At 38.2% G+C, this 27,671-nt stretch overlaps 1 protein-coding gene and 1 pseudogene across 1 annotated transcript in view; one reads left to right on the top strand and one right to left on the bottom strand.

The window, feature by feature from the left end:
• MUC19 (mucin 19, oligomeric (gene/pseudogene)) overlaps positions 1-27,671 on the bottom strand; it is a gene marked incomplete in the record, with an annotated part of 177,364 nt that overhangs the window by 8,463 nt on the left and 141,230 nt on the right. The window contains 42 exon segments of the mRNA NM_173600.2: positions 686-733; positions 903-956; positions 1,241-1,291; positions 1,706-1,759; positions 3,007-3,060; positions 4,161-4,202; positions 4,778-4,831; positions 5,100-5,150; positions 11,561-11,614; positions 11,760-11,813; positions 12,137-12,190; positions 12,346-12,399; positions 12,651-12,698; positions 13,664-13,717; positions 14,470-14,523; positions 15,113-15,160; positions 15,639-15,692; positions 15,846-15,899; positions 16,292-16,339; positions 16,897-16,959; positions 17,198-17,245; positions 17,412-17,465; positions 17,603-17,656; positions 17,911-17,943; positions 18,453-18,506; positions 19,477-19,530; positions 19,680-19,733; positions 19,989-20,021; positions 20,427-20,480; positions 20,623-20,676; positions 22,734-22,766; positions 23,448-23,501; positions 24,388-24,441; positions 24,580-24,633; positions 24,867-24,899; positions 25,319-25,372; positions 25,811-25,855; positions 26,336-26,389; positions 26,486-26,530; positions 27,038-27,091; positions 27,229-27,282; positions 27,552-27,584. Of these exon segments, the coding sequence (NP_775871.2) occupies positions 686-733; positions 903-956; positions 1,241-1,291; positions 1,706-1,759; positions 3,007-3,060; positions 4,161-4,202; positions 4,778-4,831; positions 5,100-5,150; positions 11,561-11,614; positions 11,760-11,813; positions 12,137-12,190; positions 12,346-12,399; positions 12,651-12,698; positions 13,664-13,717; positions 14,470-14,523; positions 15,113-15,160; positions 15,639-15,692; positions 15,846-15,899; positions 16,292-16,339; positions 16,897-16,959; positions 17,198-17,245; positions 17,412-17,465; positions 17,603-17,656; positions 17,911-17,943; positions 18,453-18,506; positions 19,477-19,530; positions 19,680-19,733; positions 19,989-20,021; positions 20,427-20,480; positions 20,623-20,676; positions 22,734-22,766; positions 23,448-23,501; positions 24,388-24,441; positions 24,580-24,633; positions 24,867-24,899; positions 25,319-25,372; positions 25,811-25,855; positions 26,336-26,389; positions 26,486-26,530; positions 27,038-27,091; positions 27,229-27,282; positions 27,552-27,584 (2,106 nt within the window).
• RNU6-713P (RNA, U6 small nuclear 713, pseudogene) lies at positions 8,028-8,134 on the top strand (annotated as a pseudogene).

Here is a 27,671-nt window from a genome sequence, read left to right as displayed (position 1 = left end):
TCAATTAGGCATAAATACAAGAGAAAATATTCCCTGACCAGTGTTTGCAAGCGTTCATTGGAGATATTTGCAAGAGGAGCCATAGAGAACAGTCTCCTAATCATTACATTGGCATCAGAGTAATTTCTCAACTATCTGATCATGTCAGGCTGTTGATCAAATCCTTAAGGGTACCCCATTACTACAAGGATAGTCTTGTTGAAGTTTGGTTCTTTATGAACTTTTCTCTACTTACGTTTCCAATCTCATTACCTCCCTGAAGCTCATTTAGTTATTGCCAACATTTGGTTGATTCCTGAACTTCCCCCATGAGGTCTCATATCTTTATCTTTTCCAGGGCTGTTTGGCAGGAATACCCTCCCCATCCATGCCAATTTTAAACTCAATCATGCCATTTCTCATGTCTTCACTCCACACTACCAATTAATAAGCAGAAATTAGCACTACTCTCACTCCACCCCCCGGACCACATTTTTTGTGCATATTTTTGGGTATCACTAAATATATACTATCTGTGCCCAAAATAATCTCTTCCTCCCACACACACAGAATAAAAAATGGCAAGTGCTGCATCTTGCTGATGTTTTTGCTTTTAATGTCTGCTAGAGAGTCTAGCACACATAAGGTACTAAAGAAATATTAGTTGAAATAGTAACAAAGAAATTAGGGCTTTTCCTATACTGACCTGTTTTATTTTCGGTTTCTACTTCTCTGGTTGCCACGACAGTGGTTTCTGAGAGGACATAAATGGATGGTATTGTGATTTTAAAAATTAGAATAACCTACACATATCAAGTCTGTGTTTATGTACATGCCCAAATGATGGCACAAATTCATACTCAAGGAAAGCTTTGGGTGGAACAGACAATTTATTCCAGTTCATTTCGGTCATTTGATTTTACCTGGCTGGGATACTTGTGGTCTTGTTGGCACTCCAGCTGTAACCAAGGTGGAGCCTTGCAAAAGGAAATATAAGACATTTTAGGACTAGCACCCTTCATAATTCTCTGCTCAGAATTCTCAGTCTGCACGAAGGAGTCTTTAGGAGGGGAGCCCCAGCAAAAGCCTGAACCAAAAACTCCCAGAGGAAAAAAAAAAGGTATCCCTAGTGGAATTTTGAAGTTGTGTTCCAAAACGAAGTTGAATGCCATCATCCTGGCCTCAGTCTTTCACTTCTCTCCTACCCCTCTCCTCCTAACTCAACTTCTTATGTATAATCAAAGCCACACTGAATACTCACCTGTTTGCACTCCAGTTTCAGAAGTTTCTTTGACTCCTGTGGAAGCAGTGACTGCTTAAAAAGGAACAAAAGTGGTGAGTACAGGGGACTAGAGGAGCTACAGCTTAACTTCATTTAAAAATAATTTTTTATTCTTCATGTTTTAGATGGAGAGATAAAACTATGTATTTTGTACATGATGTTCTGAAGAATTACATTATGCCACCCTCTTAGCATTTTTCAAGAATATATTATTAACTATAGTCATGATCTTGTGCAATAGAGCTCTTGAATTTTTCCTCCTGTCTATATGAAATTTTGTATCCTTTCACCAACATTTCCCCACCATACCCCTCCCCACATATACAACTACCCCAACCACTGGTAACCATCATCCTACTCTCTACTTCTGTGAGAACTGCAGATAAGCTATCCTGTCTTCTGAGGTGCCACCAAGACAAATGCATTTATTAGTATCTGACTTACCTGTGGTAGGAGGTCCAGGAGCAGTGGTTTTGTCAGATGCTTCCTTGGAAGGACCTAAAACGAGCAAGGGAAGAGCAATAAACTTTTTTTTTATTTTTTCTTTGTTTATAGCTTTATTGAAAATATTAATTTACAATAAATCACACATGTTTAAAGTGGATAATTTAATGACACCTATTTATACATCTGTGAAACCATCATCCCAGCCAAGATAATGAACACATCCATCAACACCCCCCCAAATTTCTTTTTTTTTTTTCTGGTCTCAGAAGAGCATTTACCTAAGACACGTCCACGTGGAACAAGAGTACCAAAGCACTTGGAATATACTAACACATCTACTAATGCTAGCTCATGCCCCTGCCATGGAAACACTAAGAACTTCTTATTGTAGCAATCCCTTGTTCACAGAGGTGAAGTGAAGATTCTCCTATGACCCTGATACATGTTTCTCTTCTGGGTGCCCTTTCTCTAAATGATGAAAGCTTTTCTCACACTTTACTCTATACATGTTTCACTTCTGGTGCCCCTTCTCTAAATGATGAGAGCTTTTCTCACACTTAAATCTTACTTCATGTAACTTGGTTTCTTAGTTCTCCTGTATTAATTTTGGAGGGAGAGAGTGGGAGAAAATGAGAAAATGAGAGACCTAATGTTGCCCTCAGCTTAACTACATTTTAGACAGGTTTATTCCTAGCTATTGGCTCTTAATCTCCCTTTTCTTATTTACTTTAGAAAACTTGCCTTACTTTTAAATTCTTCCTCTGCCCCTTCAAGATGTAAATCTTCTCCCAGTCTCTTGTCAATCTTGCAATTCATAAATATCTTTCTCAAGGACCTGATAGCCATTCTTTTGAAATACAATTATCAAGAAAAATAATGCCTCTATCTCCCAATCTTTGTGGGAGGGTAGGGGCCTAACTTTGACCTGATTAAGTGCCAATTACCAAACACAGATGACCTAATCATATAGATTAAAGTCTCTCCAAACATCCACCATTAGTTTTCCACTAGCTTAGCCAAGTACTAAACAATTCTCCTGCCTTTTGCTTTATCAGAGCTGAATTCAATCTCTCTCCCCTATTGTAATGGTTTTGACGCTTATTGTAATAGTCTTGAACAAAGTCTTCTTTGCCTGTTTACATCAGGTGCAATTTTATTTTACAGTTGAAGTGTGACATTCATTCATAGAGATAAATATTGGCTATCTGTATTTACTTTGTAAAAAGTATTTACTTTTGTGTTAAAGACAGAGAAATGTTGAGCATGTAATCTTCATTTGAGACAATAATTTCTATTACCTGAGATGGAAGTTTCTGGGATTCCAGTGATTCCACTTGATACCACAGTGGTTCCTGCAAAGGAAAATGAGGGCAAATTCATATCAGCCACAGCCCTTATTCCTATCCTCAGAGATAAACATGAGGAAGAGAAAGCAAATCAGATGACTTTCTGGGTCAGTGCTGCAGCTAGCCCACAGGGCACCTTGTGAATTACAGACACACAAATAACTCCTCTGGCCAGATGAGAATTCATGGATTTCAGTGTCTGCTCTCTCCTTTAGTGGTGCCCTGTGTGCCTTCACAGCCTGACCTGGGGACTCTGGCATGAGCCTGAGAAACCCCAAAACAAGAAAACAACCATAGATGGCTAGGAAATGTAAATTCCCTAATGGGACTTCCTGAGTCTTATCTTTACCCCCAATATTTCCCTATGCTGAAGCAATGGATAGGAGTCATTAATGAGAACCCAGTGGAGTTAAACAGATTTTACCACTGACAGACACTCATTAACCCTAAGAAAGGCAAAGAAGAATGAGGTAGGCAATTGATGTGTGGATGCTACAGTCAGTTCCACAGAAGGGATCTTAGTTTTCTAGCCTTAGGTTCTTACAGCTACCTACTAAATATTTACATACCTGTGTTTGAGCTTCCAGAAATATTTATGCTAGAGGCTACCTCAGTGGTGCCTGTAATAAGAGGGAAGGACACAACACCTTTCCCATCATCAGAAATGTATGGCTTTTCCACATAGCCTCGTTTCTCTGAAGCAACAGAAAACAATTTAACAAGTTTTCTTGCACCAAATGTTAAGCCTGGCATGTTTTCCAATGGACTCTTTCATAATTGTATGTTCAAGGGAAACATGGGGGAGGAAAGTCACAATTGCCTCATAGATCTCACTTCTCTAGATCCAGAATCATCCAGACTTCAATTACTAAATTTGAGAATGTTTTTCTTATATGCACATGATTTACCTCCAGTAAAGATTTCTAAAGTAAATGTAAGAAAAGGGACAAGTTCTCCAGGGAAAGAAAACCAGACAACAAAGTGTGTCTAAACTTGTGATCAAAGGTTAAATATCTAAATCAAAGCCTTAATCAGCACAATTACCTGCATCGATTGAGTAATCTCTTAATCAGCAAAATTACCTGCATCCATCATAGTAATCTCACCTTCTTGGCTGCTGGTGACTCCCGTTGATCCTGGGGTATTGCCTGACAAGACAAAGGGAGTAAAGAAAGAATGTGTCTAGAGAATTATTAACACATCTACAATATATCTTGGAAAATTCATAGAATTGATCTAGGTTGGCCTCATGATCTCTTATTAAAGGGTAAGCAACCACTTTCCAGCCACATTCATTTTCATTCAAAATCTGTACATAGTAAACTCAAATGGAAACATCATGGAGAATCCAAAATGTGAAAAAACTCACCTGATGAAATTTCTGCTTCAGTGGTTCCAACATCACCTTTAAAAGTTGTGGCCTCTGTAAGAGCAAATCAAGAAAAGTGGAAAAGATGGAGAATCTGTCAACATGAAAATGATATGGCAATAGATGACGTTGTTTTGAGAGCATTTATTATTTTTATTAATATTTTTAAATTTTGTGCATACATAGTAGATGTATATATTTATGGGGTACATGAGATGTTTTGATACAGGGGTGCAATGTGAAATAAGAACATCAATAAGAATGGGGTATCCATCCACTGAGCTGCAAACAATCCAATTACACTGCTTAACTGAGAGCCATTTAAAGGAGAATTCCTTTTACGACTTGACTTACCTGTTCTGAAACCTCCAGGTAAGGCTGTTGTTCCAGAGCCTGTTACAGTGTAGCCTGGGATGAGATGTTGAAAGAAGAGGGGGTAATATGAGCAGTGTTTTATAGGATCGAAATCATGGTTTAGAACAAATCCATGTGTTTCTGTGAAACAATGCATTCCTTCTCCAGGATTCCTTTCCCAAGAGGTAAATTAAACATGGTTTTCCCTGTTTTATAGTATTCATTTTGGATAGCTTCAGTCCTCTGGGATCCCTCTTTTCCAAGTTAGTATCATGAACGAGGGCCTTTCCCATCCTCACCTTTTTCAATTCCCCACGCTCACCTGTTTTACTTCCAGTAGGTTGGCTTCTCCCTGAAATTATGTTGGTGATCCCTAAAGTTTAAAAAATGAAAAGGATTGAGAATCTTGATATTTTAATTCTTTCAAGAGAGATTTTCCCCTTCTACTTTCTACTTTCAAAGTTTCATAACTATGAGGCTAGGTTCTCTGAAAAAATGAAATATTAAAAAAACACATCCCCAGCAAATTCTGGCTGATCCTGTTTGAGATTCTGAATCCCAAAATTAGAGGCAATATGGTCTCCTGGTATAATGTGGTATATCCCAGTACTTCAGTACACAGTGCTAAGTCAAACACATTGGAAATTGCTAAACCAGAACTCCTCTCCTTTTCAGGCTCTTTGCCTGTGTCCACCCTTTAGGTCCTGGAGAGCCCAAGGACTATCTTTGTCTGTTTTCTCTTCTCCCTGTATGTAAATAACATACAGTGGGTTATTTAGGGCTAATGTAACCCTAAATAACTCATCAGTACCCAAAGTTTCAAATATTATTTGTAAGCAAATGACTGACAATTCTCTATTCCAGTATAGGCTTCTCTTCTGGGCCTCAGTCACCTTCATCAACTCTTCTGGACATCACTACCTGGAAACCTCAGAGTAATTTGAACTCAAACGATAAAAATCAGACCATACTGTATCATCTATCAAATATTATTTTTAATTCCTCTAGTATATTCCCAAACTTGGTAGATGGCACCATCATCTATCCACCCAAGCACTCAAATCATGAACTAGGAGTCATCTAAATTTATTCCTCTCCTTTATCTCCTCAGCCACACTTGTTGATTCTAACTGGCCAACATCTTGCACACTCTTTCCGCCTCTGCATCCCCTTACGACTAGCTTATTTCAGTCCCTAATCATCTGTCACTTCCAAGAGACTTCAAACTATACAACATACCTCCACCCTTATTCTTACTCTCCTTTCATATCAATCTGCTACCTGTGACAAATTAATCTTCCCAAAGAATCCAACCTGGGCATGATAATTAACCTCTTTAAAAATCCCTTCTCATTGCCCATGGAATCAACTTTTTAATTTTTTGTGTTATAATTGAGGCCAATATTATAATATTCTTATAGAATATAGAATTGATGAGTGATCTTTTTTTCTTCATTTCATGATATTTCTGTCCCAACTTTGCAATCTAGAAGCTCTAAAATCTTCCCAACATTCCCTCTTTCAATGTTCTCTCAACATCTGGGTTGTTTTCCACAAGTATATTGTATTATTGTATTATATACTTCCCTGAAAATTCCATATTGTTTTACATCCCCCAGACATTTTAATAGAAAAGAGAAAATATTCTTTTCTGTCCTAATTCTTTCAAGTAAACAAAAGACCCCCAAGATGTCTTAAGCTTATTTCAGTCATCTTTTATTTATCCAGCCTGGAATTCTTGGTTAGTGGTGACTTTATTTGATATGACAGTAGTATTAGCAAAGACAAGTGTGGAAATACTTTACTTAAAAAAATTCCTGTCCCCATTTAGGTATCTACTTCTGGGAAGCTATGTCCTAACAATGATGTTTCAAATTAAATCTTTAGTTCAGGGTATTCCACAGCATTAATATGACTACCTTCAACGGACTTCAATAAGTCTTCAAATGAAAAGTTTTATCATCTCCTATCAGGGCCTAAATTTCACTAGTAATTAATGAAATCCCCTGTTTGTAATTAATTTCTAATAGTGGTATTGTTCAGTAATGAAGTTGTAGTTCCTGGTAGTAGAGGAAGAAGTTGAGATGACTTAATTTTGAAATCTGGAAAATATTTCATGTTATAGTAGAAGAAATATTCTCAAAGAAGATGGCCTTTTGCCTGAGGTACTCAGAGACAGCTTTCTTTTGTAACTTTGACTAATCCCTGTCGAAACTTCCAGCAAGTGTGATGAAAGAAGATATTCCAGGGGATTTGAAATGAAAATGAAATTGAGGGAAAGATAGTAAAACAGAGAGAGAGAGATCAAGAGAGACAGAGATCATAGTAATGACTTTTTTTTTAACCCAGAGAACAGCATAGACTTGGAAAAATTCACATTTCTTATAAGCCATCCAAGGGCTTCTCTATGCAAAGAGAAACAAAAACCGTACTTTCTCCTAGGCTTCCTCAACTGTGGCAAAACTCTATTCTGGAGCCCTTTTGCTGTGGTTAAATACTTTGGAAAGAAGTGCTTTTCCTTTGCTCCTCAGTTTTAATTCCTGTGGTGTTGCTCCCTCACGTTTCATAGGGACTTCTTGGAAGTGTGGGGGTGAATTTTTTTTAATTAAATTTCTTGGAACCTTAGTCATGAGGATAAACCCATGAGAATAGGTTTAATATGCAATAGAAGTCCAAGATGGGCAAATTAAACACTTTTACTAACCAAGACTGGCATTTTCTAGGCTCTTGAAAACTCCAGCTGACCATATGAAGGCAAGATGGATAAAGGATTCAGAATAACATATCATTCTTAGTTTCATAAAAATCACATCTAAAAAGCTGGTGTGGAGTGGCAAGTTGGAAATAAACAAAAACAAACAAACAAAAACAAGAGCCATCCATCTGCTGTCTTCAAGAGCTCCATCTCACATGTAATTATACCCACAGAGTCAAAATAAAGAAAGAAGGATCTACAATGCAAAAGGAAAGCAAAAAAGATCAGAAGTTGCTATTCTTACATAAAGGACTTTAAACCAACAACAGCAAAAAAGGACAAAGAAGAGCATTACATAGTGATAAAGTGTTTGATTCAAGAAGAAGAATTAACTATTCTAGACATATATGCACCCAGCATTGGAATATCCAGATTCATAATGCAAGTACTTCTAGACCCACAAAAAGACAGCTGCACAGTAATCGTGGGGACTCCAACACCCTACTGACAGCATTAGATTGATCATCAGGGCAGAAAACTAACAAAGAAATTATTGTGCTCACTTCAGCAGCACATATACTAAAATTGGGGTGATACAGAGAATATTAGCATGGCCCTAGTATAAGGATGACACAAAAATTCGTGAGGCATTCCATATTTTTTAAACATACAGCATACCAGAATCTCTGGGTCACAGCTAAAGCAGTGTTAAGAGGGAAGTTTATAGTGCCAAATGCCCACATCAAAATGTTAGAAAGCTCTTAAAGTAACAACCTAACATCACACCTACAGGTACTAGAGAAACAAAAGCAAACCAACCTCAAAACTAGCAGAAGACAGGAAATAACAAAAATCACAGCTGAACTGAAAAAAAAATTAAGATGTGAAAAACCATACAAGATATCAATGAATCTAGGAGTTTGTTTCTTGAAAGAATAATTAAAATTGATAGACGGCCATCTAGACTAATAAAGAAGATCCAGATAAACACAATCGGACATGACAAAGGAAATACTACCACTGACTCCATAGAATTACCAAAAAACAACAAAAACAGCAACAACAAAAAAAAACTCTCAGAGACTACCACAAATGCATCTATATACACAAACTAGAAAACCTGAAAGAAATGAATAAATTCCTGGAAATATATAACCTCCCAAGATTGAACAAGGAAGAAATTAAATTCCTAGACAGACCAATAAAGAGTTCTGAAATTGAATCAGTAATCAAAAGACTGCCAACCAGAAAAAGCCCAGGACCAGACAGATTCACAGCTGAATACTACCAGATGAATAAAGAAGAGATGGTACCATTCCTAATGAAACTATTCCAAAAAATTGGGAAGGAGACATGCCTCCCTAACACATTCTATGAGGCCAGCATCATTCTGATACCAAAACCTGATAGAGACACGACAAAAAAGAAAACTTCAAGACAATAACCTTGATATGATGCAAAAATTCTCAACAAAATACTAGCCAACTAAATCCAGCAGCATATCAAAAAGCTAATCCACCATGATCAAGTAGGCTTTATCCCTGGGATGCAAGGTTGGATCAACATACACAAACCAATAAATGTGATTTACCACATAAACAGAGCTAAAAACAAAAACCACACGATCATCTCAATAGATGCAGAAAAGGCTTTTGATAATATTCAATATCCCTTTATGTTAAAAACCCATAAAACACTAGGTATTGAAGGAACATACCTCAAAATAATGAGTCATCTATGACAAATCCACAGCCAACATCACACTGAATTGGCAAAAGCTGGAAGCATTCCTCTTGAGAACTGGAATAAGACAAGGATGCCAACTTTCCCCACTCATATTCACCATGGTACTAGAAGTCCTAGCCAGAGCAATCAGACCAGAGAAATAAATAAAAGGCATCAGAATAGGAAGGAAATAAGTCAAACTATCTTTGTTTGCAGAAAATATGATTCTATATCTAGAAAGCCCCATAGTATCTGCCCAAAAGCTCGTAGACCTGATAAATAACTTCAGCCAAGTTTCAGGACACAAAATAAGTGTCCAAAGATTAGTAGCATTTTATACATCAACAACATCAAGGCTGAGAGCCACATCTAAAAACACAATCCTATTCACAATAGCCACAAAAATAAATTACCTAGGAATACAGCTAACCAGGGAGGCAAAACAGCCCAATAATAAGAATTACAAAACACTGCTGAAAGAAATCAGAGATGATACAAACAAATAGAAAAAGATTTTATGTTCATGGATAGGAAGAATTAATATTATTAAAATGGCCATACTGCCCAAAGCAATTTACAGATTCAATGCTATTTAAATCTACCAATGACATTCTTCACAAAATTAGAAAAAAAAAGGTTTTTAAAAATTCATATGGAACCAAAAAACAGCTTGAATAACCAAGGCAATCCTAAGCAAAAACAACAAAACTAGAGGTATAACATTACCCAACTTCGAACTATATTACAATGCTACAGTAACCAAAACAGCATGGTACTGGTACAAAAACAGACACACAAACCAATGGAACAGAATAGAGAGCCCAGATATTATGCTATACACCTACAACTACAACCATTAGATCTTCGACAAAGCCAACAAAAACAAGCAATGAGGAAATGACTCCCTGTTCAATAAATGGTGCTGGCATAACTGGCTAGTCATGCAGGAGATTGAAGCTGAACCCCTTTCCTTACATCAGATACAAAAATCAACTCAAGACAGATTAAAGGCTTTTATGCAAAACCTAAAATTATGAAAACCCTGGAATATAACCTAGGAAATATCATTTTGGATACAGGCCCTGGCAAAGATTTCATGACAAAGATGCGAAAAACAATTGCAACAAAAACAAAATTTGACAAATGGAACCTAATTCAACTAAAGAACTTCTGCACAGCAAAAGAAACTATCAACAGGTTAACAGACAACCTACAGAATGGAAGAAAATACTTGCAAACTATGCACCTGACAAAGATCTAATATCCAGAATCTACAAGGAATGTAAACAAATTAGCCAGCAAAAAACAACCCTATTAAAAAGTGGGCAAAGGACATGAAGAGTTATTTTTCATAAGAAGGCATACACATAGCCAACAAGCATATGAAAAATTTCTCAACATTACTAATCATTAGAGAAGTGCAAATCAAAACCACAATGAAATACCATCTCATACCAGTCAGACTGGCTGTTATGAAAAAGTCAAAAAACAGATGCTGGTAAGGCTGCAGAGAAAAGGGAATGTTTATTCATTGTTGATGTGGATGTAAATTAATCCAGACACTATGGAAAGCAGTCTGGAGATTTCCCAAAGAACTTAAAACAGAACCCCACCGTCTGACCCAACAATCCCATTAGTGGGTACCTATCCAAAAGAAAACAAATTTTTCTACCAAAAAGACACATGCATTTGCATTTTCATCGCAGCATTACTCGCAATAGCAAAGACATGGAATCAACCTAGATGCCCATCAATGATGGACTGGATTTTTAAAATGTAGTATATACACACCATGGAATATTATACAACCATAAGAAAGAACAAAATTATGTCCTTTGCAGCAACACGGATGGAGCTGGAGATGCAGCTGGAGGCCATTATCCTAAGTGAATTAATGCAGGAACAGAAAAACAAATACTGTATGTTCTTACTTATAAGTGGGAGCTAAACACTGGATACTCATGGATATATGGATAGCAACAATAGACACTGGGGACCACTATAAAGGGGAGGAAGAAGGGGGCATTGAAAAATTGACTGTTGGGTACTCTGCTCAGTACCTGGGTGACAGGATCATTCATACTCCAAACCTAAGCATCATGCAATACATTCAGGACATGTAACAAACCTACACATGTACCCCCACCCCCACATCTAAAATAAAAGTTGAAAAAATTAAAAAAATAAAAAAAAGACTAGTGTATGGAGAAAATCAATCTGAAGAGCAAGGGCCCAATCTTGATTTACCTGACATGTCTCTTCAAGTGAAATACAAAATCCTATTTCAGCTCATCTTTCCATTCATTCATCACTACCACAAACTTAAGCAAAGAACTGTTGAGAACCCAAAACAAACCACTCACCAGTTGCCATTCCAACTCCAGTGGCAACTCCAACGTCTGTAGAAGTGGTAGCCTCTGAGGAGAAATAGGAGAAAGTGATATAGAATGCAGACATTTGGAAAAATGTGTAACAGTCTTACTTTATGTAATATCCCTATGGGAGCCATCAGGTCCCCAGAAGTTCATGTAGGCAGGTTTCTCCAACTCTTTCATGACTCACTTGTGTTGAAACTCCCAGGTACAATGGTCGTGCCAGTAGTTATCCCAGTGGTAACTGCAATCACAAGAGGAGATAATCAATTTATGAATTCCTTTTCATCTAAAATTAGGATTTGGTTTAGAAAAAAAAATCATAGGTTTCTCAAGTGAACTAAAAGGTTTATCAGGAACTTTCTTGCTTTAAGTGATACATAATGCATGGTCTCATGATGTCATTGTATTGCAAATACGTAACCTGCAATTCACAAGGAGTAAACTATTTATATCCTGGTAATTTGTACTCAATGATTGAGGAAAATGTCCACTAAGTTCATTATAGCCAATTTGATTTACTTTAAGATGAAAAGAAAAAATAATCATTTGATTGCCAGTGCCCACCTATTTTACTTCCAGCCTCAGTGGTTCCACCATTGCCCAAAGAAGTTGTGGCTTCTAAGTGAAGGGAGAAAAGAAGTAAATTCAGAAGAATCCTATAACTGAGAAAATCCAGTGGTATTCCCAGGGTATGGCAGGGAGTGTGTATGTTTGCGGGGAGGGAATCAGTCATATTCCATGACTGAAGCCCCTTATATTCCCTATTAGGTTACCTGTGTTGGAACTTCCAGGTGCAACTGTTGTGCCAGAGACTATGCCAGTGGTGCCTAAAGCAGGGAGAGAGAAAGAGAACCCAAATTGTGATGCATTTACCATCCCAAGAAGAGCATGGACAACAATGACTGTCTGTGACTTGAAAGCAGCAAAAGATCTTTCTTGTGCTATCCTGTCACCATGAAGTGTGCTCTCCATTTTTAAATTCAGACTCACAGTAAACACATTAGGTTGTAGTCCAGCCTTGATTATTTGGCTCCTTAGAGTTAAATGTCAGAGGTTTTGGGGTCTTTTTCACGCTTACCTATTTCACTTCCAGGGTTTGGCCTCTCAGATGTGCCACTGGTAGCTTCTAATGAAAAGAAATGAAAACAATATTTGTGTAAAGGTATTCAACTGCATTCAATAAACTTATAATATCCGAATTCCAAAGTATGACACATCTAAACCTCCAGAGTAACTTCTATCATCTCTGCTGCCTTAAATAGAACTATATGGATTTATATTGCCTCTGTAGGTACTGGGGTAATAGCTTGAATGTTAAAAGGGGAATATTTCTGGACTCTGAGCCTCTTTTTCTATAATTTTAGTATAAGGTTTGGCCCCAGGATAAATGATACAATTTTTATAAATACAAGCTTTGTTTAACAAATATCTCTATGAAAAGGCAAAAGCCCAATGTAGATTTGTGGGAACTCAGGAGTTGCCAATTCTTTGGCCAGGCGCAGTGGCTCACGCCTGTTATCCCAGAACATTGGGAGGCCAAAGCAGGCAGATCACTTGAGGCCCGGAGTTCAAGACCAGCTTGGCCAACACAGTGAAACCCCATCTCTACTAAAAATACAAAAAAAAAAAAAAAATAGCTGGGTGTGGTGGTGCACACCTGTAATCCCAGCTACTTAGGTGGCTGAGGTAAGAGAATTGCTTGAACCCTGGAGGTGGAATTTGCAGTAGGCTGAGATCACACCACTGCACTCCAGCCTCGGCAACAGAGTGAGACTGTCTCAAGAAAAAAATTATATATATATATATTTGTTATTTTTTTCTCATTTCTCATTTTTTCTCATGTATGTTAATATATGCATATATATTTATGTGTGTGGGTATATATATATATATATATATATATATATTTGCCAATTCCACTTTCATTGGTTATGCTTCCTTCCATGGAAGTTATATCTTCTGAGAATAAAAAGGAAGAAAGTAGTGAGGGCTAACAGAAAATCATCAAAAGATATAATGTACCATTGCTGCAGTTAGCCCCCAACCAAAAAAAAAAAAAAACCAACAGCATCTGTTTCCTCATTGACTCACCTGTGTTGAAACTGCTAGGTGAGATGGTGTTGCCAGAGACCACTCCAGTAGTACCTAAAAACAAAATGGAAGGGTACTACTATATCAATTTTATTCTTATAATAAAAGCACATTCTATAATAGAATGAGGCAACCTCAGAATTCTTCATTATGCAAAAAGAACATTTTCAGGGATAGCTTGTTCCAAAGTTAGTTTCTGTGTTTGCAAATGTAATGCTCCATTCTCACTATAAACTTGGTGGGGGAAGGGTGCAATGTGAGGTGGTGGTGGAGTCTCAATGAGAACGTCTCTTTTTCTGGGCTCAATGTCAGTAAAACAAAGGTACTTTATTTACCTAGTTGAATGCTAGTGACTTGGCTACCTGATACCCCTAGAAGAAGGAACAAAGCAGGACTGATTACCTGTTGAATTTTCATTTGGGCAAAATATTGGTGTTGTAGAAATTGTAGTGTTCTAGATGAGTTGAGGCATGACAAAAGAGTGTAGTGGTATAGTGTAGTGGTGATTTAGTATCATGGTTAAGAGGATGGATTTTGAAGCCAGAGCGCCTGAGTTGAAATCTGTTGTTTAATCGCTGCGTGATCTTCATTCAGTTAGTGAATATCTTCGAGCCATAGGTTTTCTCACCTGGAAAGTCTGTGAGAACAATAGTGCTTACCTCACAATTTGGGATGAGGGATAAAAGAAATAATAATGAGAAAAATGTGTAGTAGTGCCTGGAACATAGTTCATGCTAGAAAGTGTTAGCTACTATTGCTTTTATTTTAAGTGAAAAGTGAGCAGGTTAGGAAGCTTGTGTGCTCACCTGTATTCATTCCACTTCCTGTGGTCCCAGTGCCTCTAAAGGACGTCGTAGCTTCTTAGAGAGGAAAGGTAGGAAAATATGAGGTGAGAGGAATTAGCATTGTGAGGAAAGTGAAGGATGCACTATTCTTAATAACAGAGCCATGGGAGGCACTTTACTACTAAACTGTTCTGTGGAGGACTCTCACCAGCTGGCTGGCTCACCTGTATTTGAACTCCCAGGTTTAGATGTGTTGCCAGAAGCTACCCTAGTCTCTCTCTGTCACCCAGGCTGGAGTGCAATGGTGCTATCTCTCACTGCAACCTCCATCCAGGTTCAAGTGATCCTCCTGCCTCAGCCTCCTGAATAGCTGGAATTACAGGTTTATGCCACCACAGCTGGCTAATTTTTGTATTTTTAGTAGAGAAGAGGTTTCACCACGTTGGTCAGACTGGTCTCAAACTCCTGACCTCAGGTGATTCACCCACCTCAGCCTCCCAAAGTGCTGGAATTACAGGTGTGAGCCACCATGCCCGGCCTGTGTTTTCTCATGCATAGTTTTATTCCCAAATCAAATAAAGATGCAAATTCCTCAACAGAGGACTCAATTTTTCTGGAATTCAATGGCAGTAAGACAAGTGGCTTTCTTTCCTGCCATATTTACCTATTGTGCTTCTAGTTCCTTGCTTTGCTGACCCTCTAGTGGTAGCTCCTAAAAGGATAAAAATAGAAAAACTTTTTAATATAAAGGTAGACTAGAGTTATAGAGATAACTACTGTACATTTCAGTCATTATTGTGCTCAAGGAAAAATATATCGTTCGAGGCAAATCTGTGTGCATTTTGGCCTTCTGTTGACCTGAAATAGAACCCTCTGAGCCAGTAATTAATTTTTCTGATATACCTAAAATGGAGATAACTAAAATGTATAAAGAAAACTTTTCATACAATTATCACTTTCACTCTCATTTGCAGAGACATATATGTGAGGCTTGGCCCTGGAAATAGAAGGAAATCTGCCCAAGTTAATTCAAAATCAAGTAACAAAATGCTGATCTTAGATGAGAGTTCCTCAAAAACTCCTCCTCGAAAAACTATCCTATTAAGAAGCAAATTATAATTGTAATTTATTATCACTCAAAAGTCATACATGCATGCACACACACACACGCACACACCATTAATTCTCACCTGTCTTCTGTCCCACTACAGTGGTTCTATGGACTCCTGTGGAAGTTGTGGCTTCTGGAAGAAAAAGAGAAGCAATGCGTAAAGGATGAGGACTTAGAAGGACGGGGAAATACACTGTGATGCTCTTATAGAAGAAGAGCAATGTGAAAGACATTTTTGCCATCTTATTTCCAGAAAGGGAGCTTTCTTCTCAGCTTGTTAGCCTACCTGTACTGGAACTTCCAGGTGCAACAGTTGTGCTCAAGGCCACACCAGTAGTGCCTGAAATGAGAAGGCTATGGTGTCATCATGAAGATTCTTTTGCATGGAGGCAGTCTAGGTATAAAATAAATCTGTATTTCCAGGGCCATATCACTCTTATTGTGCACTGGCCAGCTCCGGGAGGCACCATTGACACAGAGTAGTTTGTCCATGTGGCTGTTCTATTAGCATGTTCTTCCACTGACCTTTTTGCTCCTGGATTGAATTATGTATTTTTCCTATATTTTAATTATTTTGTTCCTTCAGTAAACATTTATTGAGCCCTGTTTAGTACTAGGGATCAGTAAACAGAGACTTTTTTCTCAAGAAGCCTATCTTTCAGTAGGCTTACCTAGCACATATAATATAAAACCCTCAAATGTGAGACAAAATAATTTCTTTAACATATTTACCTGTTTTACTTCCAGTGACTTGATCATCTGATGCACCAGTGGTGGTTCCTAATGATTGAAAGTAGGAAAAAAGATTCTGAGTATGTTTTGACATGTAATCAATCACTGAGGAAACCATTCAGCAACTTAATATTTAAAGCTCAGGATGGAAAGCAATTGCTGGTTCATTTTAGTCATCTGTTCACCTGAGACAGAACCTTCTGGGCCAGTCTTGACTCCTGCAGATTCTGTAGTAATACCTATAATATCCACTGGGTTAATAGTCCAGGGAATTACAGCTCCTACTACCCTCTCCAGAAATCTATGTCCTAAGGCCAGTCATTGGAAAAGGCTGGTTCAGAAGCCAGCTCAGGGGAATGGATGGGAGCACCTGCCCTCCCTACATGATAATCTTTCAGATCCAGAAGCAAACTCATGACACAACTCAATGGCTATGCTAACCTCCGAGACCCCTAGTTCTCAGTGATTTCACAACAGTGACTCTAATGGCTTCTAAGGAAGCTTTGGCCTCTGGAAGAGGAAATGAAGCAGAAAAGATGTTTGGGTTTACATATTCCTCCTTGAAATTAAACAAGTGATGACTGCCACTGAAAATATTCACTTACCTGTAACAGAACTTCCAGGTGCAACAGTTGTGTGAGAGATGGTGCCACTGGAACCTGGAATCACTAAGAGGAAGAAACTTATGTCATTTAATTTACATTAACAGAAGGATTAGAAGAAAAACATTATGTTTTTTGTTAACTCAGAGGGCCTATTCCAGAATTCCTCATACACCTTTCAACAAGGATACTTCATTCCAAAAAAGATTAAAAAAAGCAAAGGCTAAGCTCTCATATTAGAAGTATCCTTATTCTCTGAGTACTGGTAAATATCAGGCAGCTATTCATACTTTCCCATGCTCACCTGTTTGACTGCTGGAGAGTTGGCTCCCCAGTGCAGTGGTCATAGATCCTGTAGAAGAGAAAAGAGAGAGAATATTCTGCTGTCTATAAATGTAAAAATTAGAGTGAAACACTAGTATTCTGAAATTTGGGGGCTTGGACAAAGATTTTCAGAGGAGATCACTCTGTATTTATTTCAATCAATTTGAATTGTTAGAACTATTTCACCAACTTCCCATTTTTACTTGGGACTGTTACTGCTTCAGTGATTCCAGAGAAAGTTGTAGCCTCTGAGAAAAAGGGAAAAAGAATAGCAGTGAGGGCAAATATTAGAAGAATCTGAGAAAAGCGTGGTAGGATCACCCAGGCAGACACCTCACTGAGGAGCCCTTCCCAAACAGTGGTTCCTCCCAGCCTGGTGCTTTACCTGAGTTGGAGCTCCCAGAGGCAACTGTCGTACCAGAGAGCACTTTAGCTGTGCCTAGGCAGGAAAGAAAAGGAAAAGATCAACAGAGTGACACATTTGTAACCCTTAGAAGAATGTGGCCAGCATCATGTCTGCCTGGGACCTTAGAGCAGCAAAAGATACTTCCTGGACCTATAAATGACAGGAGGTGGCATTTTCTATGTTTACCATGTACCTTTGTAAGGCCAAGGTTAATGCAGTGGCTAATGTGCCTGCTGATCATTTTTGCCAAGATTGAAGGTCATATAAAAGGCTTTCTACAAATTTACCTGTCTTACTTCCTGGTGCTCCAGTGGTGGCTCCTAATGAAAAGGAAAAGAGAGAAGGAGGAGGAGGAGGAGGAGGAGGAAGAGGAAAAAAAAGGAGAAAAAGAAAGAAGAAAGGAAATTTTGAATTTTTACCCTTGAACTAAAATGTGAAATCTTAATGATTTCTATGCCAAATACAAGTCAGTACTGCAATGATACACATACTGAGTTATTTTCAAAGGAAAAACCCTTTCAGAGTCACAGCTACTGTAACTCTCCGCTCTAGAGGCCTTGAACCCTGAGGCTAGTCCTAGAGAAGAAAAAGCCTTTTGGAAATTTGGGCCCAAGTTGTTCCAAATCTGAAAGGAAATACTGGTTCCTTTGAAACAGCTTCAAAAGGAAATGAAAAGCTCTACTCCACATTAAAGAGATCCTTTGCATAATATATGCAAACTTTCTATAATTTAAAATTATTCCAAAATAAAAAGTTCATTGAGAAAATGTTTTCCCTAACAAATCTATCAAAATACAACAGTAAATAATGAAACCCCCATAATCTTCACCTGATTTTATTTCTGCTCCAGTGGTGCTACTTCCTCCTAGGAAAGTTGTGGTCTCTTAAAGATGGAAAGAAAACCAAAATTAATTGAGTGTTAAGGAAAAAGGATGAGCTAAGTGATATCATTACATGAGAGGAGTCCAATTCAGAATGTCTTGCCACCTACTAAGTTAGAAAAGAAACTTTTCTGACTTTAAAAGTGATGTAAACCTTGAATACACAAGTGTACTTTTTTAAATGGGGAATAAAATAATTTTAACTCATACAGTTCTTAATTAGACTTTAGGTAGTTCTTAATTGGAATAAGATATGTAAACCTCTTAATAAAAATGTTTATATTACAAACTCATCAATAATAGATATACTCACTACTGTTATCATTTTCATTGATTTAAGTATCAGAATTTTCATGTGCAAGAATTTTGCCAGAGGGAGTGGGGACAATCTCAAGGCTGGCCACAAATTGCCTTTGCTTGGATGTCCTGTCTTCAAAAAAAAAAAAAAAAAAAAAAATTGCCAGCAGCTACCGCGTTGGAACTTGGAATTAGAGAGTGAAAGGAATCAATATCTTTATTCTTTACCCAAAATAAAAATAAGAAAGAAAATGGCTGAGGATGAAGGTGAGGAAACTGTGTTTTCTCAATGTGCCAACAAGCTCTTTTTTAGACGTTTCTAGACCCAGGAGTTGAATCTGTATATGTTTTCCATGCACCATTTCTATCTCAGAAAATTTAATGGCAAAAATTTCATTATCTCAATTACTTCCTTTAGATATCAATGAGAGAAAGAAAGACATTTCTCTCCAATCACCCAACTGATTCTCTGTGCCTTAGCTCCATGGTGAAGTCTCCCTGAAGCAGGGGAAAGGAAGATAAAGGAGTCTGAGTGTCACATTTGGTAATTAGGTAAAATCCTGCCAATCTCATAATGCTCATTCTGAAAATACTCTTCACAGGAAGTACAAGCATTAGATGTGATTCAGGCAATGTTGTCTACTGGGAAGCAGGTCGTGCTTCATCAGGGCTTACCTGCAGTGGGTCCAGTGCCAGTCACTCCACTTGCTCCAGGAGAAGTTGTAGCTGCTGAGAGTGAAAACAAAACAAAACAAAATTGAAAACATTCCGGGATTTAGAAAGGGAATGGTCTGCTTTTGCATAGAAGCAGCAAAAGGGAAGACATATGATTGTAGAAAGCATCCAAGAAATGGCTCTGTGCCAAATTGTGGACTCACCTGTGCTGAAACTTCCAGGGGCAACTGTTGTGCCAGGTGCCACCCCAGAGGTGCCTGAAACACAAAGGGATTGAGGTGACCATGGTGAATGAGTAAGTCAAATGAAGACCTGAATCTAAAAGGGATATACTATATTTATTTTCTATAAAAGAAGTCATTTCCCCTTAGGATATGGCAGTTGGTGAACTAGATGCATTTGCCTGCTGTCAATACTTTACAACTAGAGCAGATAGAGAGACAGTGCCCTCAGCTTCAGGCACTTCTGGAGTCTGATAAAAGGGAAACTAGATGGATTTCCCCAATGCTCACCTGCTTGCTTTCCTGGTGCTGCAGTGATGCCTGCTGTGAGATAGAAAGGAGGGGGGAAATGTTTTAAATGTGCTGAAACCATCAGATGTAGGAGAAAATAAAAAGCAAGAAAATGTGTAAGCATGCACACACATATAAATGCATGCGTCCTGGGTCCATGGTGCTCTTTTGTATTTCACACACTCCCATGGAAAACTTTCTGAATTCCACCTCAAATGCTAGTGACAGTTGTAATACAAATGGAAATATTCCATTCCGTCCTCAGACATAAATCTGTAAGTATCCATTCCGGAATTATTAGATTAAAAAAATTGTATCTCCACCAGCAAAACTATCTTGAATCACTTGCAGCATCCCTAAATAAAACACAAACTCTCTCAAGCAAAGTTTAAGAGACCTAATACTTATGATGCTAAATCAGGGGCTGTTTCTTCTCACCAGTTTTGAATCCAGTTCCAGAAGTACCAGTCTCTTCAATGGAATTTGTGGCCTCTGAGGGAAGAAAGAGTGGTGAAGTCTGTGAATTTGGAATACTGGGAGAGGATACTGAGGTGGGACTTTATCATAGCAGCCCTAAAAGACATAGCATGACATTTGACATTAAGTAAGACACATTTCCTTCTTGTTAGGCTACCTGTGTTAGAACTTCCAGATAGAATGGTCGTTCTAGAAGATTCTCCCATGATATCTGAAATGGAAAAAAACAGAAATGGAATAATAGAGCATTGTCTCCCCATTTAAGCTTGGAAGGATCAACATGGCAACCCTAAAGCATTGAAGCCCTTTCCTGAGAACATTCTATTTCTATAAAGAACAGAAAATGAACAACTTCCTAGTACTTCATTTTCCAGGCCAACCAGAGATGAATGTGTTGCTAGTGGGTTTCTCTTTCACTATGTCACAAGGGTAGACACCAGTAACAGACAAATAGAGAGCCAAATCATGAGTGAACTTCCATTCACAATTGCTTCAAAGAGAATAAAATACCTAGAAATCCAACTTACAAGGGATGTGAAGGACCTCTTCAAGGAGAACTACAAACCACTGCTCAACAAAATAAAAGAAGTCACAAACAAATGGAAGAACATTTCATGCTCATAGATAGGAAGAATCAATATCGTGAAAATGGCCATACTGCCCAAGGTAATTTATAGATTCAATGCCATCCCCATCAAGCTACCAATGACTTTCTTCACAGAACTGGAAAAAACTACTTTAAAATTCATATGGAACCCAAAAAGAGCCCGCATCACCAAGTCAATCCTAAGCCAAAAGAACAAAGCTGAAGGCATCTTGCTACCTGACTTCAAACTATACTACAAGGCTACAGTAACCAAAATAGCATGGTACTGGTACCAAAACAGAGACATAGACCAAGGGAACAGAACAGAGCCCTCAGAAATAATACCACACATCTACAATCATCTGATCTTTGACAAACCTGACAAAAACAAGAAATGGGGAAAGAATTCCCTATTTAATAAATGGTGCTGGAAAACTGGCTAGCCATATGTGGAAAGCTGAAACTGGATCCCTTCCTTACACCTTATACAAAAATTGATTCAACATGGATTACAGACTTAAATGTTAGACCTAAAACCATAAAAACCCTAGAAGAAAACCTAGGCAATACCATTCAGGACATAGGCATGGACAAGGACTTCATGACTAAAACACCAAAAGCAAAGGCAACAGAAGCCAAAATTGACAAATAGGATCTAATTAAACTAAAGAGCTTCTGCACAGCAAAAGAAACTACCATCAGAGTGAACAGGCAACCTACAGAATGGGAGAAAAATTTTACAATCTACCCATCTGACAAAGGGCTAATATCCAGAATCTACAAAGAACTTAAACAAATTTACAAGAAAAAATCAAACAACCCTATCAAAAAGTGGGCGAAGGATATGAACAGACACTTCTCAAAAGAAGACATTTATGCAGCCAACAGACACATGAAAAAATGCTCGCCATCACTGGCCATCAGAGAAATGCAAATCAAAACCACGATGAGATACCATCTCGCACCAGTTAGAATGGCGATCATTTTTTAATGATCAAGTCAGGAAACAACAGGTGCTGGAGAGGATGTGGAGAAATAGGAACACTTTTACACTGTTGGTGGGACTGTAAACTAGTTCAACCATTGTGGAAGACAGTGTGGCGATTCCTCAAGGATCTAGAACTAGAAATACCATTTGACCCAGCCATCTCATTACTGGGTATATACCCAAAGGATTATAAATCATGCTGTTATAAAAACACATGCACATGTATGTTTACTGTGACACTATTCACAATAGCAAAGAGTTGGAACCAACCCAAATGTCCATCAATGATAGACTGCATTAAGAAAATGTGGCACATATATACCATGGAATACTATGCAGCCATAAAAAAGGATGAGTTCATGTCCTTTGTAGGGACATGGATGAAGTTGGAAACCATCATTCTGAGCAAACTATCGCAAGGACAGAAAACCAAACATGTTCTCACTCATAGGTGGGAATAGAACAATGAGAACACTTGGACACAGGGTGGGGAACTTCATACACTGGGGCCTGTCATTGGGTGGGAGGAGGGGGAAGGGATAGCATTAGGAGATATACCTAATGTAAATGACGAGTTAATGGGTGCAGCACACCAACATGGCACATGTATACATATGTAACAAACCTGCACTTTGTGCACATGTACCCTAGAACTTAAAGTATAATAATAAAAAAAGGCATTTCTGAAATCTACCTGTCTTAATTCCTGGTGCTCCAGTGGTGGCTCCTAATAAAAAGAAAAAGAAGAAGAAGAAGGATGAGAAAGAAAGAAAGAAAGAAAGAAAGAAAGAAAGAAAGAAAGAAAGAAAGAAAGAAAGAAAGAAAGAAAGAAAGAAAGAAAGAAAGAGAGAGAGAGAGAGAGAGAGAGAGAAAGAAAGAAAGAAAGAAAGAAAGAAAGAAAGAAAGAAAGAGAAAGAAAGAAAGAAGGAAAGAAAGAAAGAAAGAAAGAAAGAAAAGAAATAAAGAACAGAGAAAGAAGAAAAAAGAAAATTTTGAATTTTTATCTCTGGAGTAAAACATGACAACCTAATGGGTTCTGTGCTGAATACAAGTCAACACTATGATGATATGCAGACTACGCTCTTCTCAAAAGGAAATCATTTCAGAGCTGTAGCTACTACAGCTCTCCTCTCCAGAGGCCTAGAACCCTGAAGTTAGTCTCTAGGAAGGGAAAGCCTTCAGGAAATTTGGGCCCACATGTTTACAAATCCAAATCTAAGAAGAAACTCTGTTTTCCCTGAAATATTACAGCCTTAAAAGAAATTTAAAAGTACACTCCACATTAAAGCGATTCTTTGCATAATCAATGCAAATTTTCTGTAACTTAAAAAGTTATTGTTAAAAAATGTTTCCTGTAAGAAATCTATCAAAATACAACAATAAATAATGAATACTGCAAAATATTTACCTGATTTTATTTCAGTTCTAGTGGTGCCAGTTCCACCTAGGGAAGTTGTAGTCTCTTAAAGATGGAAAGAAAACCAAAATTAATTGAGTATTAAGGAGGAGGGATGAGCTAAGTGGATGTCAAGATGTGCAATAAGCCTAATTCAAAATGTCTTGTCACCTACTGTTAAGTCAGAAGAGAAATCCTTCTGACTGTAAACATGATGGAAACCTTCAATATCCAAGTTTAATTGTTAAATGGTGAGATAAAATATTTTCAAATCATATTGTCCTTAATTGAAATTTAAGTGTTTCTTCATTGGAATAATTTATTTAAACTTAATTTCAAAAGGTATACAGTCAGAACTGAAATTAATCATAAATGATTGATATGCTTATTACTATTATCATCCTTATTTATTATTAGATTTTTCACATGCGAGCATTTTGCCAGAGGCTACCACATTGAAACTTGGAATTAAAAAGTGATAGGAATCAAAATCTGAATTCTTTACCCATAATGAGAATGAACATGTCATATCATGAAGGTGTGGGAACTATGTGTTTTCTCAAAGTGCCAAGAAGTTCTTTTCAGAGGTTTCTAGAACCAGGATTTAACGTATATATGTTTTCCATGCACCATTTCTGTCTCACAGAAAATTTAAATGACAAAACTTTCAATAACTCAATTATTTCCTTTAGATATCAATGAGAGAAATAAAACCATTTCTCTCCAATCACACAACTGATTCTCAGTGCCTTAGCTTCATGGTGAAGTCTCCTTGGAACAGAAGAAAGAAAAACAAAGGAATTTGAGTGTCGGGCCTTTAGTCATTTAGGTAATATCCTGCCTATCTGGTAATCTATGTTCAAAAAATACTCTTTACAGGAAATACAAATACTACATGTGATTGAGGCAATGTTGTCTACTGGGAAGGAGGTAGTGGATTGTCAGTGCTTACTTGAAGTGGTTCTAACCCCAGTCATTCCACTTGCTCCAGGAGAAGTTGTGGCTGCTGGCAGAGGAAGGACATGAATGGAAAAGACTCAGGGGGGATGGAATGGAATGGTGATGCTTCTGCATTGAAACACTCAATGGGAAGATATTATAGCAAGCACCCATAAAAGGATTCCCCGCCACACAGTGGATTCACCTGTGCTGAAACTTCCAGGGGCAACTGTTGTGCTAGGCGCCACCACAGAGGTGCCTGAAACACAAAGGGATTGAGGGGACCCAAATCTTAAAGGGATATGCTGTATTTATGTATTTATTTATTTCCTACAACATACATCTCTCTCTGAGCATGAGGCTGATGGTGAACTATATATATTTGCCTGCTTTCAAAAATTCATAACCAAAGCACATAGAAAATGTTTCCAACTTCAAGCACAACTACAAATTTGATAAAAGGGAAACTAGATGCATTTTCTTGATGCTCACCTGCTTGCCTCCCTGGGGCTGAAGTGATGCCTACTGTGAGGTACATAAGAAGAGCGAAGAAAGATTTAAATGTGTTGAAACTTCAGATGTTGGAGAAAATATTGGGGAAGCCAATCGTAAGATACATATACACATATGCATGCATGCACCCTGGTTCCAAGGGGCACTTTCCTACCTCACACACATTCACACATGTACACACAGAAAACTATCTGGCTTCCAGCTCAAATGCTAGTGATACTAGTAACAAAATGGGAAAATCCCATCCCATCCTCAGCCTCAATGAAGGGAGACTCAATTTTAGAATAAGTAGCCTTTCAAAAAAGATTTCTCCCTAATAACAAACCTGTATTGAATCACTTGCAGTGTCTTTATAAAAACCACAAACACCCTCAAGGAAAGTTAAAAGACCTAATCTAGATGACCCCAAATTATGGGCTTTTTAGTCTCACCAGTTTTGAATATAGTTCTGGAAGTTCCAGTTTCTTCAATGGAAGTTGTGGGCTCTGAGGGAACAAATACAGTAGGGAAGTCTGTGAATTTGGAATACTGAGAGGAGATACTGGGGTGTTATTTTATCATAGCAGCCCTAAAAGAGATATCATGACATCTGACATTAAATATGAGGCACTTTATTCCTGTTAAGCTATGTGTGTTAGAACTTCCAGATATAATGGTTGTTCCAGAAGATTCTCCAGTGGTACCTAAAAAGCAAAAGGGATAAATGCAGCAACAGAGCATTTTCTCCCCATTTATGCTTGGAAGCATCAATGTAGCCCTAAAGCACTGGAAGCCCTTTCCTGAGGATACTCTGTCTCTGTAGCGAATGGAAAATGAACAACTTCTAGCACTTCCTTTTCCAGGCCAACCTGAGATGGATGTGCTGCTGCTGGGTTTCCCTTTTACTATAAGGCAAAGTAGAATAGGGTTTAAATCACGCTGACCTGTTTCCCTTCCAGGGACATATCCTCCTGATGTACCAGAAGCGCCTACAGGAGAAATACAGGAGAAATCCTGCTTAAGGTTTTAACCTTATAAGCAGGATTTTTGATACAGCTATAGGGGCATTTAAATAATCAGTTGACTTCATGAAGCTTTCTAGTGAGGGGAGAGAAGAAATAAACATCATGTATAGCTAAATGAGAAAAATGATAGAAAGTGTCCAGCTGTGGGTGGAAAGGTAAATTGGGTGAAGGACGGCTGGACGTTCTGGAAGGATGGGATATGTGGAATAGACTCTCAAGCCTCATATCAGAAAAAAATGTCTCCATAAGCCAGGGTACTGAAGACAGCCTAGCTGAGCCATCTGAGCTCATGGAATCACAAGCAGAATAACTGACCAGATATAGGACACAATATGGCCCCAGAGAAAATTCCCCCTCCCTCAAAAGCCTTCACATTATTTATTCCCTGTATCCACCCAGACAGAGAGATGATGAGAGCCTCAGGCCTCAGCCTAACAAGCTCACCACCCAGTGGTCCTGCTCGGGTGCTCCCGCTGCCTCCTGAGAAAGTTGTGGCCTCTGACAAAGAAAGGAATTAGATGTATGAAGACTGCACAGCACATTCTGGGGCCCCATAAGCTGTATTGCCCAAAGGCCATGTTGAGAATTCCTGACCTGTGTGGGCACTTCCAGCTGCCAGAGTTTTACCCTCAGTAGTACCTGAAATAAGAGAGGATTGTGATTAGTTGGTCAATCTGTTGTCATTAATGAAATGGTTATAGACTCCTATAGAAAAAAAAAAAACATTTTTATTAAACACACCAGAAAATTTATTTCTCTAGAGTTTCTGGTTTTTTTTTTAAGAGTTAATCCATATATTGCCCTTGGAACATATAGTTCCTTTGGCAAGTTTATAGAGAAAGTCCTCTACCACAGAGTTCCTTATTTAGGGTATTGTTACAGATAGATAGATTTGGGCCCACGTCACCTCTATAACTGTCGGAGAATGGGCTCCATGATGCCCTGATGAAGGGTCCTTAGACCCAAAGCACAAGACATAAGGAGGAAATGTTGAAGTGTCTGAACTATATTTATTGATGTTAAATATTGATCATCTGCTAAATGTTTTTCTAATATGCCAAATATGGGAAATTCAGATTTTTGCCTTATTCTAGCAAGACATGGAAAATCATATCAATGTACACTTAGTTCCTTAACTGAGCTCACCTGTGATTGTTTCAACTCTTGTTTTTCCACTTTCTCCTAAAGAAGTCGTGGCCTCTGTAAAAGAGGGAAAAAGAATAGCAGTGAGGGCAAAGATTTGAAGAATCTGAGAAAAGCATGGTAGGATCACCCAGGCAGACACCTCACTGAAGAGCCCTTTCCAAGCACTGGTTCCTCCCACCCTGGTGTTTTACCTGAGTTGGAGCTCCCAGGGGCAATTGTTGTAGCAGAGGGCACTCCAGCTGTGCCTAGATAGGAAAGAAAAGAGAAAGATCAACATAGAGACCCTTTTATGACCCTTGAAAGAATGCGGCTGACAGCATGTCCATCTGTGACTTCAAAGCAGGAAAAGACGCTTCCTGGTCCTATAACTGACAGGAGAGGCATTTTCCATGTGTATCGTGTTCCTTGGTAAGGCTGAGGTTAACACAATGGCTAATACGCTTGTCCTGAATTTTTTTTTTTTTTTTTTTTTGCCAATGTTGAAGGTCATTTGAAAGGCTTTCCCCAAGTTTACCTGTCTTACTTCCCGGTACTCCGGAGGTGGCTCCTAATGAAAAGAAAAAGAGAAGGAGAAGAAGGAGGAAAGAAAGAGAAAGAAGGAAGAAAAAATATTTTTGAATTTTTATCTCTGAAC

Source organism: Homo sapiens, chromosome 12 (genome assembly GCF_000001405.40).
Source record: "Homo sapiens chromosome 12, GRCh38.p14 Primary Assembly".
Taxonomy (NCBI): Eukaryota; Metazoa; Chordata; class Mammalia; order Primates; family Hominidae; genus Homo; species Homo sapiens.
Note: the sequence above shows the minus strand (reverse complement) of the source record. Positions and strands in the feature narration are given on the sequence as shown.